This window comes from Homo sapiens, chromosome 5, assembly GCF_000001405.40.
Source record: "Homo sapiens chromosome 5, GRCh38.p14 Primary Assembly".
Lineage (NCBI taxonomy): Eukaryota > Metazoa > Chordata > Mammalia > Primates > Hominidae > Homo > Homo sapiens.
In genome coordinates, this window is record NC_000005.10 from 177,710,191 (window position 1) to 177,727,243 (window position 17,053).

At 44.1% G+C, this 17,053-nt stretch overlaps 1 protein-coding gene and 1 long non-coding RNA gene across 34 annotated transcripts in view; one reads left to right on the forward strand and one right to left on the reverse strand.

Annotated features, from left to right (window-relative positions):
- LOC107986489 (uncharacterized) overlaps positions 1-17,053 on the forward strand; it is a 57,699-nt gene that overhangs the window by 37,812 nt on the left and 2,834 nt on the right. For 6 of the 7 annotated variants that reach the window (XR_001743020.2, XR_001743023.2, XR_001743022.2 and 3 more), the window contains exons 3-4: positions 6,264-6,412; positions 7,363-7,494. This is a non-coding gene — a long non-coding RNA (uncharacterized LOC107986489). The remainder of the gene's footprint in view (positions 1-6,263; positions 6,413-7,362; positions 7,495-17,053) is intronic. The other variant, XR_001743024.2, reaches the window with a different exon arrangement.
- FAM153A (family with sequence similarity 153 member A) overlaps positions 1-17,053 on the reverse strand; it is an 89,179-nt gene that overhangs the window by 15,944 nt on the left and 56,182 nt on the right. For 14 of the 27 annotated variants that reach the window (NR_146226.2, XM_017009364.2, XM_017009369.2 and 11 more), the window contains 11 exons: positions 14,594-14,631; positions 14,105-14,172; positions 13,911-14,016; positions 11,717-12,379; positions 8,259-8,413; positions 7,957-8,143; positions 6,973-7,106; positions 6,155-6,225; positions 3,864-3,987; positions 3,558-3,726; positions 859-2,980 (listed from right to left, as the gene is read on the reverse strand). Coding sequence is in view for 25 of the 27 variants with exons in the window: in XM_017009364.2 (XP_016864853.1) it covers positions 13,923-14,016; positions 14,105-14,172; positions 14,594-14,631 (200 nt within the window). In the remaining 2 variants the exon portion in view is untranslated. Of the gene's footprint in view, positions 1-858; positions 2,981-3,557; positions 3,727-3,858; positions 3,988-6,154; positions 6,226-6,972; positions 7,107-7,956; positions 8,144-8,258; positions 8,414-11,716; positions 12,380-13,173; positions 14,017-14,104; positions 14,173-14,593; positions 14,632-17,053 lie in introns of those variants that run through there. The other 13 variants (NM_173663.5, NM_001413826.1, NM_001394339.1 and 10 more) reach the window with 10 other exon arrangements.

Below are 17,053 nucleotides of genomic sequence, written 5' to 3' on the forward strand. Positions count from 1 at the left end.
CAACCTTCTCCTCCTGGGTTCGAGAAATTATTCTGCCTCAGCCTCCCAGGTAGCTGGGACTACAGGCATGTGTCACCACACCCAGCTAATTTTTTATTTTTAGTAGAGACGGAGTTTCACCATGTTGGCCAGGCTGGTCTTGAACTCCTGACCTCAGGTGATTCTCCTATCTTGGCCTCCCAAAGTGCTGGAATTACAGGAATGAGCCACTGCATCTGGCCAATACATTTTTTAAAATCTTGTATATTGATTTCAGGCCTGTTTTCTTAACAGTAGCAGCTATTTCACCTAATTCTGAGCAGTGTTTTGTTCTCTGGGCCAGTAGGATTTTATGCATGCTTTTTGTGATCCGTGTTCAAAATCTGGATTGCCAACATTGCAGCTCCAATGTAAGCTTGTTATTCAAATAAATATTTAATTTTTAAACTTGCTCCTGTATGGCTGGGTGCAATGGCTCATGCCTGTAATCCCAGCATTTTGGGAGGCTGAGGTGGGTGGATCACCTGAGGTCAGGAGTTCGAGACCAGCCTGGTCAACATGGTGAAACCTTGTCTCTATAGGTTCAAGCGATTCTCCTGCCTCAGCCTCCCATGTAGCTGGGATTACAGGTGCCAGCCACCACACCTGGCTAACTTTTTGTATTTTCAGTAAAGACGGGGTTTCACCATGTTGGCCAGGCAAACTCCTGACCTCAGGTGATCCACCCTCCTCGGCCTCCCAAAGTGCTGAAATTACAGGTGTGAGCCACTGCTCCCAGCTGGGATACACATATTTAAAGTTGTTACCAAACTTCAAGGATCAAAGAAAGATTCCTAAGGAGGGTACATCTGAGAAAAGAAAAAGTTCTGTTCAAATAAATATTTTTCTGAGAGTTTTCCATAGCAATGTTTAATGCTAGAAAAAATGGAATAATATGACACATATGTGTGTATACTGTACATATAACTAAAGACATATACAATGGTCTGAAATTATAATGCACAAAGCCAATAGCATTAGTTACTTCTGAAGACTGTACTGGAATTGAAAAGAAGACATTGGTCTTGTGTAAAATTTTAATTTTTTAAACGGAATATGAAACAATGTTAATAATAACCACCACAACAATAAGAATAATGCTGAAGCAACCTCTTCCAAGTTATCAGGACAAGACCATGTGATCCAAACAGGTATGTTCAAGTTGTTTTTTAAGTAGAAGGAAGCAAACCTCATTTTCAAATATACAAGGATAGACCCATCTCATGAAATAATTTTGATAAGCAAGAAATGACTGGAGAAGCCATGACTTTTAAAAAATTGATAGCAGCCAATCCATTATAAAATTGTTAGACGATTATAAAAATGGTTATAGAATTACATGCTGTAATTCCTCAAGGAGGAATATGGTGGGTGAGTTCTTATATATGTAACATTGATAAATGTGAATGATGTCTTACAATTTAAATTATGCCAAAAGAAGTAATGTGTTTTTGATGGTGTTATCAGATTAGATTCTTCCAGAAAAGTTGAAGGATCTTTAGGAAAGATTTGAACATTAAACAAACCAGAGAATAAGGTAATAGATAGCCATTGTAGGTTCCTGGATGGTATGGCAGATTATATTACTCTCAAGAAGCATTTGTTCCCTCCCCAACCCCAACGCCGCCTGCATGTACTACCCCATTTCATTAATGTTGGACTTGACCAGGTGACTTTCTTTGCTCAATGTAGCATTAGCAGACTTGGTTCTGCCATTACTGTTACAAGAATAACGGAAAGCTGACCATTCTTCTTCTTTAGTTTCAAAAGTAAAAATAAAATGACTGTTAAGAGACAGAATACAAGCCACAGACTAGGAGAAAATATTTGCAAAACACATGTCTGATAAAGGGCTTATATCTAAACTAGACAGAAAATTCTTAACAATTAAAAAAACAATTTAAAAGTGAGAAAAAGATCTGAAGAGACATCTGAACAAAGAAAATACACAAGAGACAAATCAGCAAATAAAAAGATTCTCAGCCAGTTGCGGTGGCTCGTACCTTTAATCCCAGAACTTTGGGAGGCCAAGGTGGGCAGATCACCTGAGGTCAGGAGTTTGAGACCAGCCTGGCCAACATGGTGAAACCCTGTCTCCACTAAAAATATAAAAATTTGCTGGGAGTGGTGGCATGCGCCTGTAATTGCAGCTACTTGGGAGGCTGAGGCAGGAGAACTGCTTGAACCCAGGAGGCGGAGGTTGCAGTGAGCAGTGATCACACCATTGCACTCCAGCCCAGGCAACAGAGTGAGACTCCACCTCAAAAGAAAAAATAAGGCAATTTTACAGTAAATACGAAATCTCATTTCTGAGGGGCCCCCCCCACCTCCAGTTAGGTGATCCATTTGGTATGGTTGGGAGATGTGACACTCAAGGCTGGTATACCACGTGGTTACTGATTGAGAAATGTACATCACTGGGAAGAATGGATGGACTGCATGTTCTCTATGCAGCTATCAGTACACCTCTCTCTAAGCTGGCTTTTGAAAAATATGGCTGTGGGTTTGAGGTGATAACACTACCCCCTCTCCAGCAGCTCCTGTGTCGTGGTGCACGTATCAGGTGGTCTTTGTAGCCAGTGAAGATAGAATCCGGATTGGAATGTATGTTAAACAAAGGCTGAATCAGGACATGTGCCAAGCTGAAAGACTTTTCCAGTTCTGTACAACTGAGCCTCAACAGTGTGTTATGACAAAATTGTTCTCCAAACATTAATTTGTGGTCCGCTCCCATACACAAACAATACCAAATAATGGACTATGTGTCCATCTTGTCCATCTTTGACACTGTGCTCTACCAAGAGAGACACCTCCCAAAGCCAGAAAATGTTTATTAAACAAAATCAATGAAATGTCTGAGCACAGTCCAGGTGGCAGAGGTTTACTTCTTGAATAAATGACTTCATCTTTTAACACCATTTCACACTGAAGTCCAAATGGCCTCACAAATATTTCCTGGATCCTAACAAAGAAAATAATCTCAGTTGAAGATCCTGTATTCAATTATTTTGGCAACTGTTTCTTACGTGTTTTCTTTTTCTTTCTTTTCTTTTTTTTTTTTTTGAGGAGTCTCGCTCTGTTGCCTAGGCTGGAGTGCAGTAGCACGATCTCAGCTCACTGCAAGCTCCGCCTCCTGGCTTCACGTCATTCTCCTGCCTCAGCCTCCCGAGTAGCTGGGACTAGAGGTGCCTGCCACCATGCCCAGCTAATTTTTTTTTTTTTGTATTTTTAGTAGAGATGGGGTTTCACCGTGTTAGCCAGGACGGTCTCGATCTCCTGACCTCGTGATCCGCCCACCTCAGCCTCCCAAAGTGCTGGGATTACAGGCGTGAGCAACCGTGCTCGGTCATCTTACATATTTTCTTTGTCTAAATGACTGAGCTGGGTGCTGAGGAGATGATGTTGGCCAGGATGGTCTCTATCTCCTGACCTCATGATCTGCCTGCCTTGGCCTCCCAAAATGCTGAGATTACAGGCGTGAGCCACTTTGCCCAGCCAAGATTGAAATCTTGATGAAAAAAAGCAGTTTGGAAACTTACCTGTTTTTTATTCAAAGCCCGTCCTCTCCTTCCTGTTCATGAATGGCAGGCATCCTGTGGTGACTGAAGAAGGGCCTAGCAGCAAAGGGACTCCATCGCCCGAGGAGCAGCTTCCGCAGGAGCTCTGGCAGGTTCCTTGGAAAACGTGGCAGTGCCGGCCCATGGTGCCCTGTTCAGAAATACAAGACTCAGATTTAGTAAAGCCAGTTGTGTAATGTGAAATTCGTTTAAAAAATCCTTAACCAAAACATTTCATAAGACCGATGTATTCTATCAACAGTATTTTACTGTATGTTCATACTTAACGGCATTAAGAATCACCGTGATGGGCTGGTGACATGCATCTGGTTCATCAATGTTAGTGGCAAAGCTTCCAGCATCTACAACTCTAGTCACCAAAATCAAGAATGTCTTTCTCTTCTCTTTTTACCTAATTACAAAAAAGGGATTGATTTATGAAAAGCAATATATTAACAAATAGCACAACTTATGTTCATATCATTGCCACTTCTAGCCACAAATTAGGAGTCAGGATTAAGGAAAACTTACCTAAGTTTTCCCAGGCTATTTTAAAATTGCTTTTTTTCTACAAAAATAAGTGTTAAATTCTTCTTTTGAGGTAGTCTCAATTAAGTTGATGCTAATTGGAAAAGACTATTAGATCTTAAGCTGAACTGACAATTTTATAAAATAAATAGACTTCCTTTTCTACTATTAGAATGTTCTAATAATGAGTTCTATTATTATAGTAATACTTCTGAATTCCCTTTTAAAATATTGTTACTATCTTGGCATTTTTCAGACTTAACCTGAAAATGTTTTAAATATCAAAATAGACATATCCGAAGTTTACAACAAGGGTGTACAATCATGATGGGCACACTTCCTCAAACATGGGGGACCAACCCAACTCAGACCCATCACACCCTCAGCGTGTGGAAATGTTAAACTATACAGGAACCATGGCTGGAGACAAAAATCTGTAGGTGTCCCTGACATAAAATGCCATAGTACTTGCCTGCAGCCTGGACACACCCTCCAATATCCTTCAAATCATCTCTAGATTACCCACAATACCTAATACAATGGAAATGCAACGTAAATGGTTGTTATACTTTATTGCATAAAGAATGACAAGAAAAAAAGCTTGTACATATTCAGTACAGATGCAACCATCCTTTTTTTTCTGGAATATTTTTGATCTGAGGTTGGTAGAAAGCAAGGATGCAGGACCCACAGATAAAGAGGGCTGACTGTATTTAACACACACACACATTTTCTTTTGCCTGAGTAAAAAACAAAATTGTACTTGTAACACAGCTAAAGGATGTCAACAAAACTGTTCTTCCCAACCTCAAATTGATAGAGACGACCTTCAAAGTCCACATAGAACCTCTTATTGCCTTTTGTATTTTTAGTAGAGACAGGGTTTCACCATGTTGGCCAGGCTGGTCTCAAACTCCTGACCTTGTGATCCGTCTGCCTCAGCCTCCCAAAGTGCTGAGATTACAGGCGTGAGCCACCGCACCCGGCCATCTCTATTTCTTATACACAATAATATTATAACAAGAAAGATGTAAATTTGCTTAATATGCAGCTTCTGTTTCTGAGTTCTGTAGCTGTCACTCAATAAGATAAGAAAGCTACTGATCTCACCAAATCAAGGACACAATACTGTTCCCTCAGGTAGCACAAATTGCATGGGCTCAAAATATGGGAAAGACAATATTTTATGAAATGGTGTATTTTAAGGCTGACCTACAGATAGGAATTTTTTTTCCAATCCAAGCAATAAAGCTTTGATGTGGAGGTTCACTCCACATCCTGTCCTGATCCTCAGCTGCCAGAGGCCAGCCTGTACTTGCCTTCACACTGCGTCTTCCTTCATGGCTTCAGGCTAAGATTGCTGGGAGCCTCCTATAAATGTGGTCATCTTATGGATTAAACACTTTTTTTGTTAGTTTTTTTTGTGTTTTAGAGACAGGGCCCACTGTCATCCAGCCTGGAGTGCAGTGGTATGATCATAGCTTTCTACAACCTCTAACTCCTAAGCTCAAGTGATCCTCCCAACTCAGCCTCCTGCGCAGCTAATTTTTAAATTTTTTTTTGTAGAAACGGGGTCTTGCTATTGTTGCCTAGGCTGGTGTCAAACTCCTGGTTTATAGTAACCCTCATACCTTGGCCTCTAAAAGTGCTGGGATTACAGGAGTGAGCCATCATGCCCAGCTTAGATTAAATACTTTTTTTTTTTTTTTCAGATGGAGTCTTGCTCTGTTGCCAGGCTGGAGTGCAGTGGCGCAATCTTAGCTCACTGTAGCCCCCACCTCCCAGGTTCAAGTGATTCTCCTGCCTCAGCCTCCCGAGTAGCTGGGACTACAGGCACGTGCCACCATGCTCAGCTAATTTTCGTGTTTTTAGTAGAGATGGGGTTTCACCATGTTGGCCAGGATGGTCTTGATCTCTTGACCTCATGATCCACCCACCCCAGCCTCCCAAAGTGCTGGGATGACAGGCGTGAGCCACCATGCATGGCCCAGATTAAATACTTCTTTAGGAGATGGACTAGAAATGGGTCATCAGAAATTGTTTTTACTTACATATGAAGAATTCCAATCTTCAAAAGAATTTTAGAACTCAATCAGAACTTGAGAACTTCTTTCAGTAGGTGCTGTGATTCAATAACCAGAATTCTGCTTTACTTTATAGTTACACAAGTATTTCTGTCATTTTCCTACTAAATTACATGAAGGGGGTTGTCTGCTTATGAGCTGCACCACCGAGCAGCATGCCTATCAGCGAGAAGGTGCCTGACAATTCTCAGTTGAAATGTCCTGACCAAGTTCCCCCAGAAATTTGTGAGTATTCAACTGTATTAAAACTAAATATATTGTTTTTAATGACAAATAGTCACTATTTAGTAAAATGATTACTGTGCTATAATAGAACAAGTCCTTAGCCCAAAATTAAATGGCCACAGATTGACATATGCATAAAGCTTATCAACTATCACATAACACATTTTAACAAAAATCAAGAGGACTAATAGATGATCTCTTCTTTTTCTTTTGTGAGACAGGGTCTTGCTCTGTCACCCAGGCTGGAGTACAGTGGCACAATCATGGTTCACTGCAGCCTCCACCTCCTGGGTCCAAATGATCCTCCAACCTCAGCCTCCCAGGTAGCTGAGGCCACAGTAGCATGCCACCATTCCCGCTTAGTGTGTGTGTGTGTGTGTGTGTGTGTGTGTGTGTGTAGAGTCTGGTCTCAAACTTCTGGGCTCAAGCAATTCTCCCTCTTTGGCCTCCCAAAATGCTAGGATTACAGGCATGAGCTAAATCGTACCAAAGAAATTATATTTTAAAAGTAAAGTCAAAGGTAGAATTTAAGAACAAAGGAATTCTATTTCTATACTTACTAGTCCCAGGTAGACAAACAACACAGCCTTCCTCAGCCTCTACCCGAGTCATTTCAGACGAGTGTGAGCCATGAGAAATCAGAGCTGTTATTTTCGGGTTGAAACTGACACTTTAGGCTACTGTTTTCATTTGCCTGTTGAAAGAATAACTTAGCTGTATTAATCATTTAAATTAAAATTAAACATTTTGAAGGGAAAACATGGGGAGTAGACAACATCTACCTTACTCAAGGAGGCAGGTAATCAATGTAAAAGGAATGAGAAAAATCACCATTGGAACCACGGGTGTAATCAATGTTTCCAAGAGGCTTCGGCAATGATGCTGAAACCAGCTCGTGAAGGTTGCCAGGGACTAAGATGTTCACAGTGCTTTGATGTCTCATCCCACAGATGACTAATAACAAAAGGGAAAAGCTACCCTCACAAGGAGATGTCCAGTTGACACTATCTCAACCAAAATTATTAAACATAGCATCAGCAATCGTGGGACAAACAGACGCAAACATCTCCTGGTGTGAGGCGGTAAGTACACAACACTGCCTAATCTGAATTAGGCATTATTCCCTGTTTAATCTGGATCCACTCATGAGAACACTGTTTAATCTGTATTCTTGCCAAAATGCTCAATCTATTCTAGTCAGGAGAAGAAAAAAGCAACCAGATATATCTAGATTATGGGTCACTCTACAAAACAAAGAGCCTAGATTTTTCAAAATGTTTCATGTATTGAAAGAACTACTCCAAAGTAAAAGAATAGAGAGACGTGACAACCAAAGGCAAGGTTAATCTTTGATTAAACTGTGGATCTAAAACAAAAATAAAGAACATTTTGGAGACAATTAGGTAAATCTGAATATGGGCTGTACATCAAATTACTGTATTATAGTTAGATGGTAGAACTGTAATTACATAGAAATATGTCATTATTCACAAGAGATAAACGCTGAAGTGTTGGGGTAAAACATCATGCTCTTTTCAACTTACTTTCAAATGATTCAGAGAAGAAAGTACTTATGGAAAGAGAAAGAAACTGCAAAAGGTGGCAAATGCTAGCCACTGGTTGATCTGAATGAAGAATATGTAGATGTCCATTGTTTTGCCTTTTAATTTTCTGTAGGCAAGGGAAAGATAGGAAGGAGGGAAGGTGCAGGCATTTCTTATCAATTCATACCTGTAAAAAACAGAGTTAAAAGAAAACCAAAGGCTTAAAATTCATGTAAACATCCAGTGAGATCAACAGTGATTTTCTGTCAAATTTCTGAAAAGCCATTAAGACTGTAACATACCTGACTAGGATCACCTGTAGGTAACTTAAAGTACTTTTTCTGGAGGTTCCAGTCCTTCTACTTCGTATGCTTTATTCCATCATTCCTGGAATTGCCAGTTGTTCGAAATAAACCTCTAAATGATCATCGTAAGACATTTCATCATCAATATCATCCTTTAATAAAATTAAGAAAAAATAAAACAGGCTCTAAGGCAGTGACTAAACAATAAATAATTTGTAATAAAAAGGGCTGAGATATAAATGAGTCAATAAAATTAAGAAAAAATAAAACAGGCTCTAAGGTAGTGACTGAACAATAAATAATTTGTAATAAAAAAGACTAAGACATAAATGAGTCAATAAAATTAAGAAAAAAATAAAGCAGGCCTTAAAGTAGTGACTAAACAATTTGTAATCAAAAATACCCATCAGACATAAATGAGTCAATAAAGTATACAATTTTTTTTTTTGAGATAGAGTCTTGTTCTATTATCCAGACTGAATGCAGTGGTGTGATCTCAGCTCACTGCAATCTTCACCTCCCAGATTCAAGCCATCCTCCCACCTCAGCCTCCCGAGTAACTGGGACTACACGCGTGCACCACCTTGCCTGGATAATTTTTGTATTTTTTTTTGTAGAAATGGGGTTGTCCCATGTTGTCCAGGCTGGTCTTAAACTCCTGGACTCAAGCATTCCACCCACCTTGGCCTACCAAAGTGCTGGGATTACAGGTGTGAGCCACCTCGCCTGGCCTGTTTTTATACTTGACATGAGAAAACTGTTATAACTTCAGTCAATTATAAGTTATTATAAAAAAATATTTAACCTCTTTGAGAGGACAGGACAGAAAGATCCTGACACGTTATCAAAGCTTAGGGTAGGATAAATGTGCCATCACAAATGAATGGGGAAGAGAGCAGGCACTTCAGAAAATGGTGTGGCAAATGGTTACCTCTATCAAAAAAGTACAGACGAGCCTATCCTAAGAGAAGTAAAAGGAAGAAAGGGAGGAGAGAGAGAGAAAGAGAGAAAAAGGGAGGGAGGACACTGCAGAAGGCTTCAATGTTGTAACACCCAGCTCGGCAAGGATAAGATAAACCAAGAGCTCTCAGTCATGGTCTAAGCTGGCACTGGCTTTTATTTATTTATTTTTTTTTCGAGGTGGAGTCTCACTCTGTCACCTAGGCTGGAGTGCAGTGGCGTGATCTCGGCTCACTGCAAGCTCCACCTCCTGGGTTCACACCATTCTCCTGCCTCAGCCTCCTGAGTAGCTGGGACCACAGGCACCTGCCACCACATCGGGCTAACTTTTTGTATTTTTAGTAGAGACGGGGTTTCACCGTGTTAGCCAGGATGGTCTCAATCTCCTGACCTCGTGATCCGCCCGCCTCGGCCTCCCAAAGTGCTGGGATTACAGGCGTGAGCCAGTGCGCCCGGCCTACCTTTTTAGAGGTTAATTTTGCAATTAACATTAAGAGTCTCAAAAACACTCATCACCTTTGACTTAGCCATTTCACCTCCAATAATCTAGCATACTAAAACACTCTAAGATCAGATACATTTAGGTCAATAATTCTTTATCCACCAATTACACAATCCAAAAAAATTTTAAAAACTCTTTTGGCAGCACAAGCTGTCCTCAATAAATGTGATACTATTTGTAGTTTCTATTTATACCACTCAGCTGGCCTTCAAAGCCATGCATACTTTTAATGTAAGTAGCCCCAGCCTACTTCTCTGGGGTTATTTACCAACGCAGCCTCCCACAGATGCTGTAAACCTGACACAGAAAGCCCCTGGCCGTTCCCCAAACACTGCCCACATGCCTCCCAGCAGCGCCTTTGCTGATACTGTTTCTGCTTCCTGACACGCCCTCCTTCTCGCACGTCTAAGGCCTGGCACGGGCCCCATCTCTTTTCGTAAAGCTTCAGCCATACCTGCCTCAGAGGTAAATTTCTGACCCCCATGATTCCCAGGCACATTTTGGTGCTGCTGGTTGTACACAACACAATCTGAAATGTGGTTCTGCATCTCTTCTTTGCACCTGGCTGAGGTCTCAGAGAGCAGAGGCTAAATATTTCATGGCTCCCTCAATTTCTAAACACAGTGCTGTATATTGAGTGGCACCTCTAGGTGACTACTTTGTACCCTAAATGTTAAACTGAGGGATGAGTGAAACAATATCAGGATTAATAAATAAATACATTCTTGAATTCCATCACTTAATAGAAGTGGCCATTTGAATGCTGGCAGGTAGGAAGAAAAGAGGAGGACAAAGAACCCCAAAAGTTGGCATCATAACTACTGCCACAAGAAAGGAGAATCAAGCAGATTGGTAAGGTAAAGACCAGGGACACACAGGTCACTGCAGGACTGAAGAATCTTCCAAGCTTGTCAGTAATGTAAGTTTCTCATTTTCCAATAAACTAGTGTGGCATAGGTCACTGTTTAGAGTCTTGTCTTCAAAATGTTTTCCAGCATCAAGGAAAACAATCTACAAGAAACAAAATGGTGAGAAAAAGCAGCACACTCACGTCTCTGAAGAGCACAGCATAAGGCTACAAAAAGGACCAAGCACCTTCTCAACCTGCAATGTGCTCAGTGTCTGTAAATCACAAGTTAGGTGATGAAGGGCTGGTAGTTTCCCATGAATTAATAACTTTCCTTCTTGCCCCCGTGTTATCTCCCTCACCTGACCCCCGCCAATAAAACATCCTTAAAAGGCTCCTCTCAAATTCCTTGCAAATATTAGGCTCCTCTCAAATTGCTTGCACATGCTTGGAGAAGCTCACAGTGGTTAGTACACTCATACACAACTGAACTTGAGCGACACAAAGCTTACAAGACAGCAAAGACAACAGCAAAGCTGGGCCCAGCAGCCATCACCTAAAGAACTCTTCACTCGTTACATTGGAGCAGGTGATCTCTCTGGAACCAGGAACCACAGAACACTGAAGGACACGGAGCTGGTGGCTAAGGATTCAAGGCCTGCAGTGAAAATGTAACATTTCCCTCCAAGTGCTTATTTCTGCTATAAACTGGTTTAGTTTTGCAATGAACAACTAGATTTCTAACTGATATTCACGTTAATAAACTTTTCTTTTTTAAGACAGGGTCTTGCTCTGTCACCCAGGCTGGAGTGCAGTGGTGCAGTCATGGCTTACTGGAGGCTCAACCTCCTAGGCTCAACCAGTCCTCCTGCCTCAGCCTCCCAAGTAGCTGGGGCTACAGATGGATGCTACCATGCCCAGCTAATTAAAGGATTTTTTTTTTTTTGTAGGGATGAGGTCTCACTATGTTGCCCAGGCTGGTCTTAAACTCCTGGGATCAAGCAATCGTCCTGCTTTGGTCTCCCAAACTGCTGAGATTACAGGTGGTAGCCACTGCACCAGGCCATTAACATTTATATATGTAAAATACATACAGAATGTAAATCACCACAAAACATAAAAATACTCCATATTGATGTAACTTACCATACTATGGATTTGTTTTAAAAATGAGGTAAAAGTCATTAAGAAAATGAAAGCACAAAAGAAGTCTATCAAAATTACAAAAACTTAAAACCGAGTAAACAAAACTTCAGAAAGAATGAAAACAATTGGAAAATAACTTCAAGAAAAAAATGTAAAATGGAAACAATACAAGAACAATTTGTGCCCTCTGAAAAACAGAGGTTAAAGTCAGAATTTTTTTGTTCTTTTTTTTTTTTTTTTGAGACAAAGTCTCACTCTGTAGCCAGGTGCTGGGGTGCAGTGGCATGATCTCGGCTCACCGCAACCTCCGCCTCCTGAGTTCAAGTGATTCTCCTGCCTCAGCCTCCCAAATAGCTGGGACTACAAGAGTGCGCCACCACGCCTAGCTAATTTTTGTATTTTTAGTAGAGACGGGGTTTCACCTTGTTGGCCAGGCTGGTCTTGAACTCCTGACCTCAGGTGATCCACCCGCCTCGGCCTCCCAAAGTGCTGGGATTACAGGCATAAGCCACCACGCCCAGCCAGGAAAGTATTTAAAAACAAATTAAGCAAAGATTATAAAAGTTTTTGGAGTAACACATTTCCCGAAATGATCACGATCCACATCAAGTCTGAGCCATGTTGACATCCCCACGTCGGGGCCCTTCCTGGTGGTCGAGGAATCTGCAACACAGACAGAGGTGCAAGGGTCACTAGAGAGGCACAGAGGTAGAGGGAGGAGGGGCTCCCTGGGATGGGTGTGCAGGTCTCAGAGACCTCCTTGGGCCCTGGAAGGTGACCTGGGGCCCCTGAGCTCCCCACAATCAGGTCTACTCAGATGTCAAGGCACTGAGCCCTGTGTGCTGCTCTCTGCTGAGGAGTTATCTGTCCACAGAGAGTGTGAGTGTCATGGAGGAAGAATGAACCTGGGCGCTCACACGGGCACCTTCAGGGGGCTGGTTCCCCGGAGGGTAAAACAGACACACAGAAACGGAATTTCAAGCATACCAGGATCAACAGGCAGAGTCCCATGCCCCTGGGCCCTAAGAGGAGCAGGAGGTCTCATGACACAGGGTGGGGGTGGTGACCCTGCCTTGCCACCCAGATCCTCTGTGCCATCCAGACGGAAGAGCTGCACGTTGAATATGCATAGCTTCCTGGAGAAGAGCTGCACGTTGAACATGCATAGCTTCCTGGAGAAGAGCTGCACGTTGAACATGCATAGCTTCCTGGAGAAGAGCTGCACGTTGAACATGCATAGCTTCCTGGAGCATGTCATTGTTATTGCCTAATAAGACCTGGTCTTTCTAGCATCCCCACCGGACCTGTCTTTGCTTTGTAATTTTTAAAATTATGCTTTGGTAAGACACAAATTTCTCATGTTTGTATATTCTAGCATAAAAGGGTTACAGAAGACATACATTTGAAAGTGAAAAACAGTGTATATGTACACACACACACACACACATTCATATGTGTACCTTATTTCAAGATTGGAAAATATATTTAAAAAACAGAGGCTCGCTAAATCATGTCCTCAAACCCTCCCAAGTGAGCATGGCCCTGAAATGTCTTCAAGGGTTTGTTTTGTTGGCATTTGGCCCAAGCCAGTGCCCTCTACATACAGAAGCCTCCAACCTCATCTTGAAAAAGGGGGCCATGAGGCCACCCCAGGCCCCCACAGAGGCTGAAGGACCCCTGGAACTGGAGGCCCCCAGACCCCCCAGAGGCTGAAGGACTCCTGGGACTGGACACATTTCAGTGCTTCTTGGATCCTGCCGTGTCCCCTGCTTGACACCAGGACCTACTGAGGGCCTGCTGGCCTGCAATACTGGGTCGGGTGGGCTGCTCGCTTGTGTGACAAGGAGCCTGGGGGTGCCTCCATCCCTCTCACACCTTTCCCAGGAGGCCTGAACCAGGGGGATTCATGTCAACCCTAGTGTCTCCTCAGGATGAACTAGTGATGCTCCCTGTTGTCCTCAAGGGGCTGGGAAGACAGAGCTAGGTCCCCCCAAATGAGATGTTGGTGAGCTGAAGAGTTACTGCAGACAACACAGTGCAAAGCCCTTGGAGTCCTGCACATGGGGGTGCGACCAGCACCTCAGTGTCTCCCTCACTAAGCAGCCTGTGGAGGGCTCAGCCCAGCAGGCTCAGGGGCTGCTATGGAGTGGGTGTCTGTTTCCTGGAGCATGTTCTCAGGGCATCCTTCACTTGCCTTCAGAGGTCTCTAAAATATATTAAAAATGTCCCAACATTTCAGGACATTCCACCGGCTTTTCTTGCTGGGCTTCCTGGTTTTCTTCTTGGGCTTTCTGGTTTTCCTGATGGGACAACAAGAAAGTGAGCGTAGCCAAGAAGAACATGGGCACGTGCCCACTTCCCTCATCATTCTGCCCACTGCACACTCACACTTCCTCTTCCACTTTGGTCTTTTCTGTTGCTTCTTCTGCAGGTGCAGAGGAAGGACTTGCTGACATCTGTGAGGAAGAGAACAATTGTGCATGTCCAGAGACGCCAGTGCAGGAAAAGACCTATCTGTGAAGGCGGTGTCCAGAGCAGACCCAGATGTCACTGGGGGGTCCCTCCAGCAGGGTGGGGTCCAGCTCTTCTGACCCCAGCCCAGCCCCCTCCCCTGGACCCTGTAGGGTTGTTCAGCAAGATTCAAAGCTGCAACCTGGGGGCCAGTAAACAGGGCAATGCCAAGGCAGTGGGCAGGAGGGCTGGAGAGGGATTTTATCGACACTGAAGACCCGAGGACCTCAACTGTGGGATGAGACCAGGTCCTTCAGGAGAACAATCACAAGAGAGGGAAAGAGGAAAAGGACTAGAGCTAAAAAAGGAGCTCATGAGTCAGAAAGAGGATAAAAGACAGCCAGCATATAAGAGGAGATCAATTACCTGCTGGTGGCTGCCTGTAATGGTGGAGTCTTCCAATTCTGTGAAGCAAGCATCAGAGTGTCCGGAGGAGCAGCGGTGATGGGGTGGCCATAAGAAGGAAAGGGGAGAGTTAGAGTCGAGAGAACCACTCAGACCCCGCTGTCCTGGGGCTGTGGAGCCAACCCCAGAGCCTCTGATGTGCTCATTTCTGGAGCCTTCTCCACAGCCTGTATCATTTCCTCTGTGCTATGAGGGAGGGACCTCTGACTTCCCATGTACTTTCCCAGCCCTCACATTCCATAACTGAGCCAAGGGAGGGGAAGCCGTGTCATTCTGTTCCTCCAAGAGGCAGCGCCCTCTTCACAACGTTGTGCGTGACATGGAGTTCCCTCCCTTCTCCTCCTGTAGGGCCTGTTTCTGTTCCCGCATGAATCCCATTTCCTTTCACCCTGTGGACCTCCACCAGTCCTACTGTTCTCCAAAATAAGAACACTGGAAAGAAGGTCAAGGCTGCACTGCCAGGGCCTCCAATCAACCCACGGATCGCACCCTGGGTCAGCAGCACCTCCCACAGGCCTGGGGTTGTGTTGGGGCCTGCGGGAGGTGATGATGGCCGATGTCACTTATACAGTGACTGTTCTATGCCTGGAGTGACCTTAGAGACTTGGAAAATATTCAGCCCTCAAAAGAATCCCAGCAGCTTCTGAATATTTGGAAACAATGGAACAGAATTCAAGGTAAAGCTCCTTGTCCCAGTTGCCTTAATCTGCAAGTGAGGCCAGCAGTTGCCAGCACAGAAATGAGGGGACCCTCCCAGGGTTTGCCTGAGCTGTGGGAAGACTAGGAGGGAAGGTACCTGGAAGACCTGACACAGAGAACAATCTGGGCCTGACTGGAGTGTGGGGAGAAGGACAAGGCTGCTGAGCCAGAGAGGAGGGTGTGACAAGACAAGTGACTACTGTGCCAGCTGCCCAGAGGCTCTGCCCTGGGCCCAGTGGATTCCAGGGACCAGGCTACAGGGAGGGTGAGAGCCACTGCCTACAGCAACACAGCAGCCCCTCCACACATATCCCTTAGGATTCCTGCCAGCCACAGAGGGCCCTGAGCAACAGCTAGACTTGGGCCTCTCCAGTGAAAGCCAATTTAGGTTTCATTCAAAGCACAGGGATTTGGGATTGGATGGGATTGGGTGAGGAGTGGAGGCCAAAACTGTGCTCAATCATGTGTTCTGCCCTCAGGACTCCAGGATGCTGGGGCACACGTAGGAATCCCAGAGGAAGGATTCCCTGTGTCATCCGACCCAGGGAGCACCCTTAGAGCAGGAGCAGACAGTGAGGACAGGACAGGAAGGTGCTGTTGCAGGTCCCAAGAGTGTAGAGAAAGACAGTGGGCTCCTTTCACCTCCTGGCACACGTATGAAGGACTTTGTCTTCAGGATCACGTAGCGCCTATGTGGGGCTGTGTCCCACCCCACACTCAACTTTACACCTGCATACTCATCTTGTGATCTCTATTCACAAAAAAATGCTACCTCATCAAAACCCAGGGCTCTGGTGCTTACTGTGGCAAAGGCAGGAATGATCTGGTCTTCTGCAAAATGTAATATTTAAACACCAGAGCAAGAAATGATGGTGACATACACAACTCGCACAAAGCCCATGAGAACAAAACTCTTAGGACTTTCTCATTAAGATACAAAAAATCCCAAGTCAGACTTCTACACCTGTTTCATATTTAGTCACTTCACTGATCCCATCCTAGGCTCCAAAATAAGTGTAACCCAATTCCCAAGAACCCTGTCTCACTGGTCAACCCTGGAGTGTTGGTCCCTACCTGACCAGTCTATTTCCTCCTGGATGGATCCAGAGGTGGTGCCCATGAGCCCATGTACAGAGACACAAACATTAGTACTACTGCTCTGTCCACTGTGATTCTCCCTGGGCTCTGTGAACTCAGGGGCCTTTATGAAGGCACTGCTCACAGTTGTGAGCCTTCAGGTAAGACAGAGGACCTGAAATAATCCCTTTCAACTGTTCACCGACACTGGCTCATAGCATCTCTTACCTCCAATCTGAGAACCTGAGATTCCAGCCTTGATGCAAATGCACTGAGTTAGGTGGGTGCAGAGAACAGAACCTGGGCCAGACTCACAGCAGCTGCTTCCCAGGTGATTCTGGGAGAATGGAGATGCTCTCTTAAGAGTAGACTTTTGGCAACTGGGAACTTCTAGCATGGCTCTTGTGAGGAGGTTATGAATTTTTTCATTTATTTTAACATGAATGGGCACATATGCCACTGAGGACCATACTGGAATGCACAGGTCTAAACCCAAAGATGAGGAAGATGTGACTCTCCCCCCTGGTGATTCCTGGCAGAGTGGTTTGCTGCTGTGATCTGATCATTCATGGATGGGTACTTCAGGGGCACAGGAACAAGCTCCAGGCCCCCTGTGAAGTGCAGGGATGCCACAACAAAAATAAA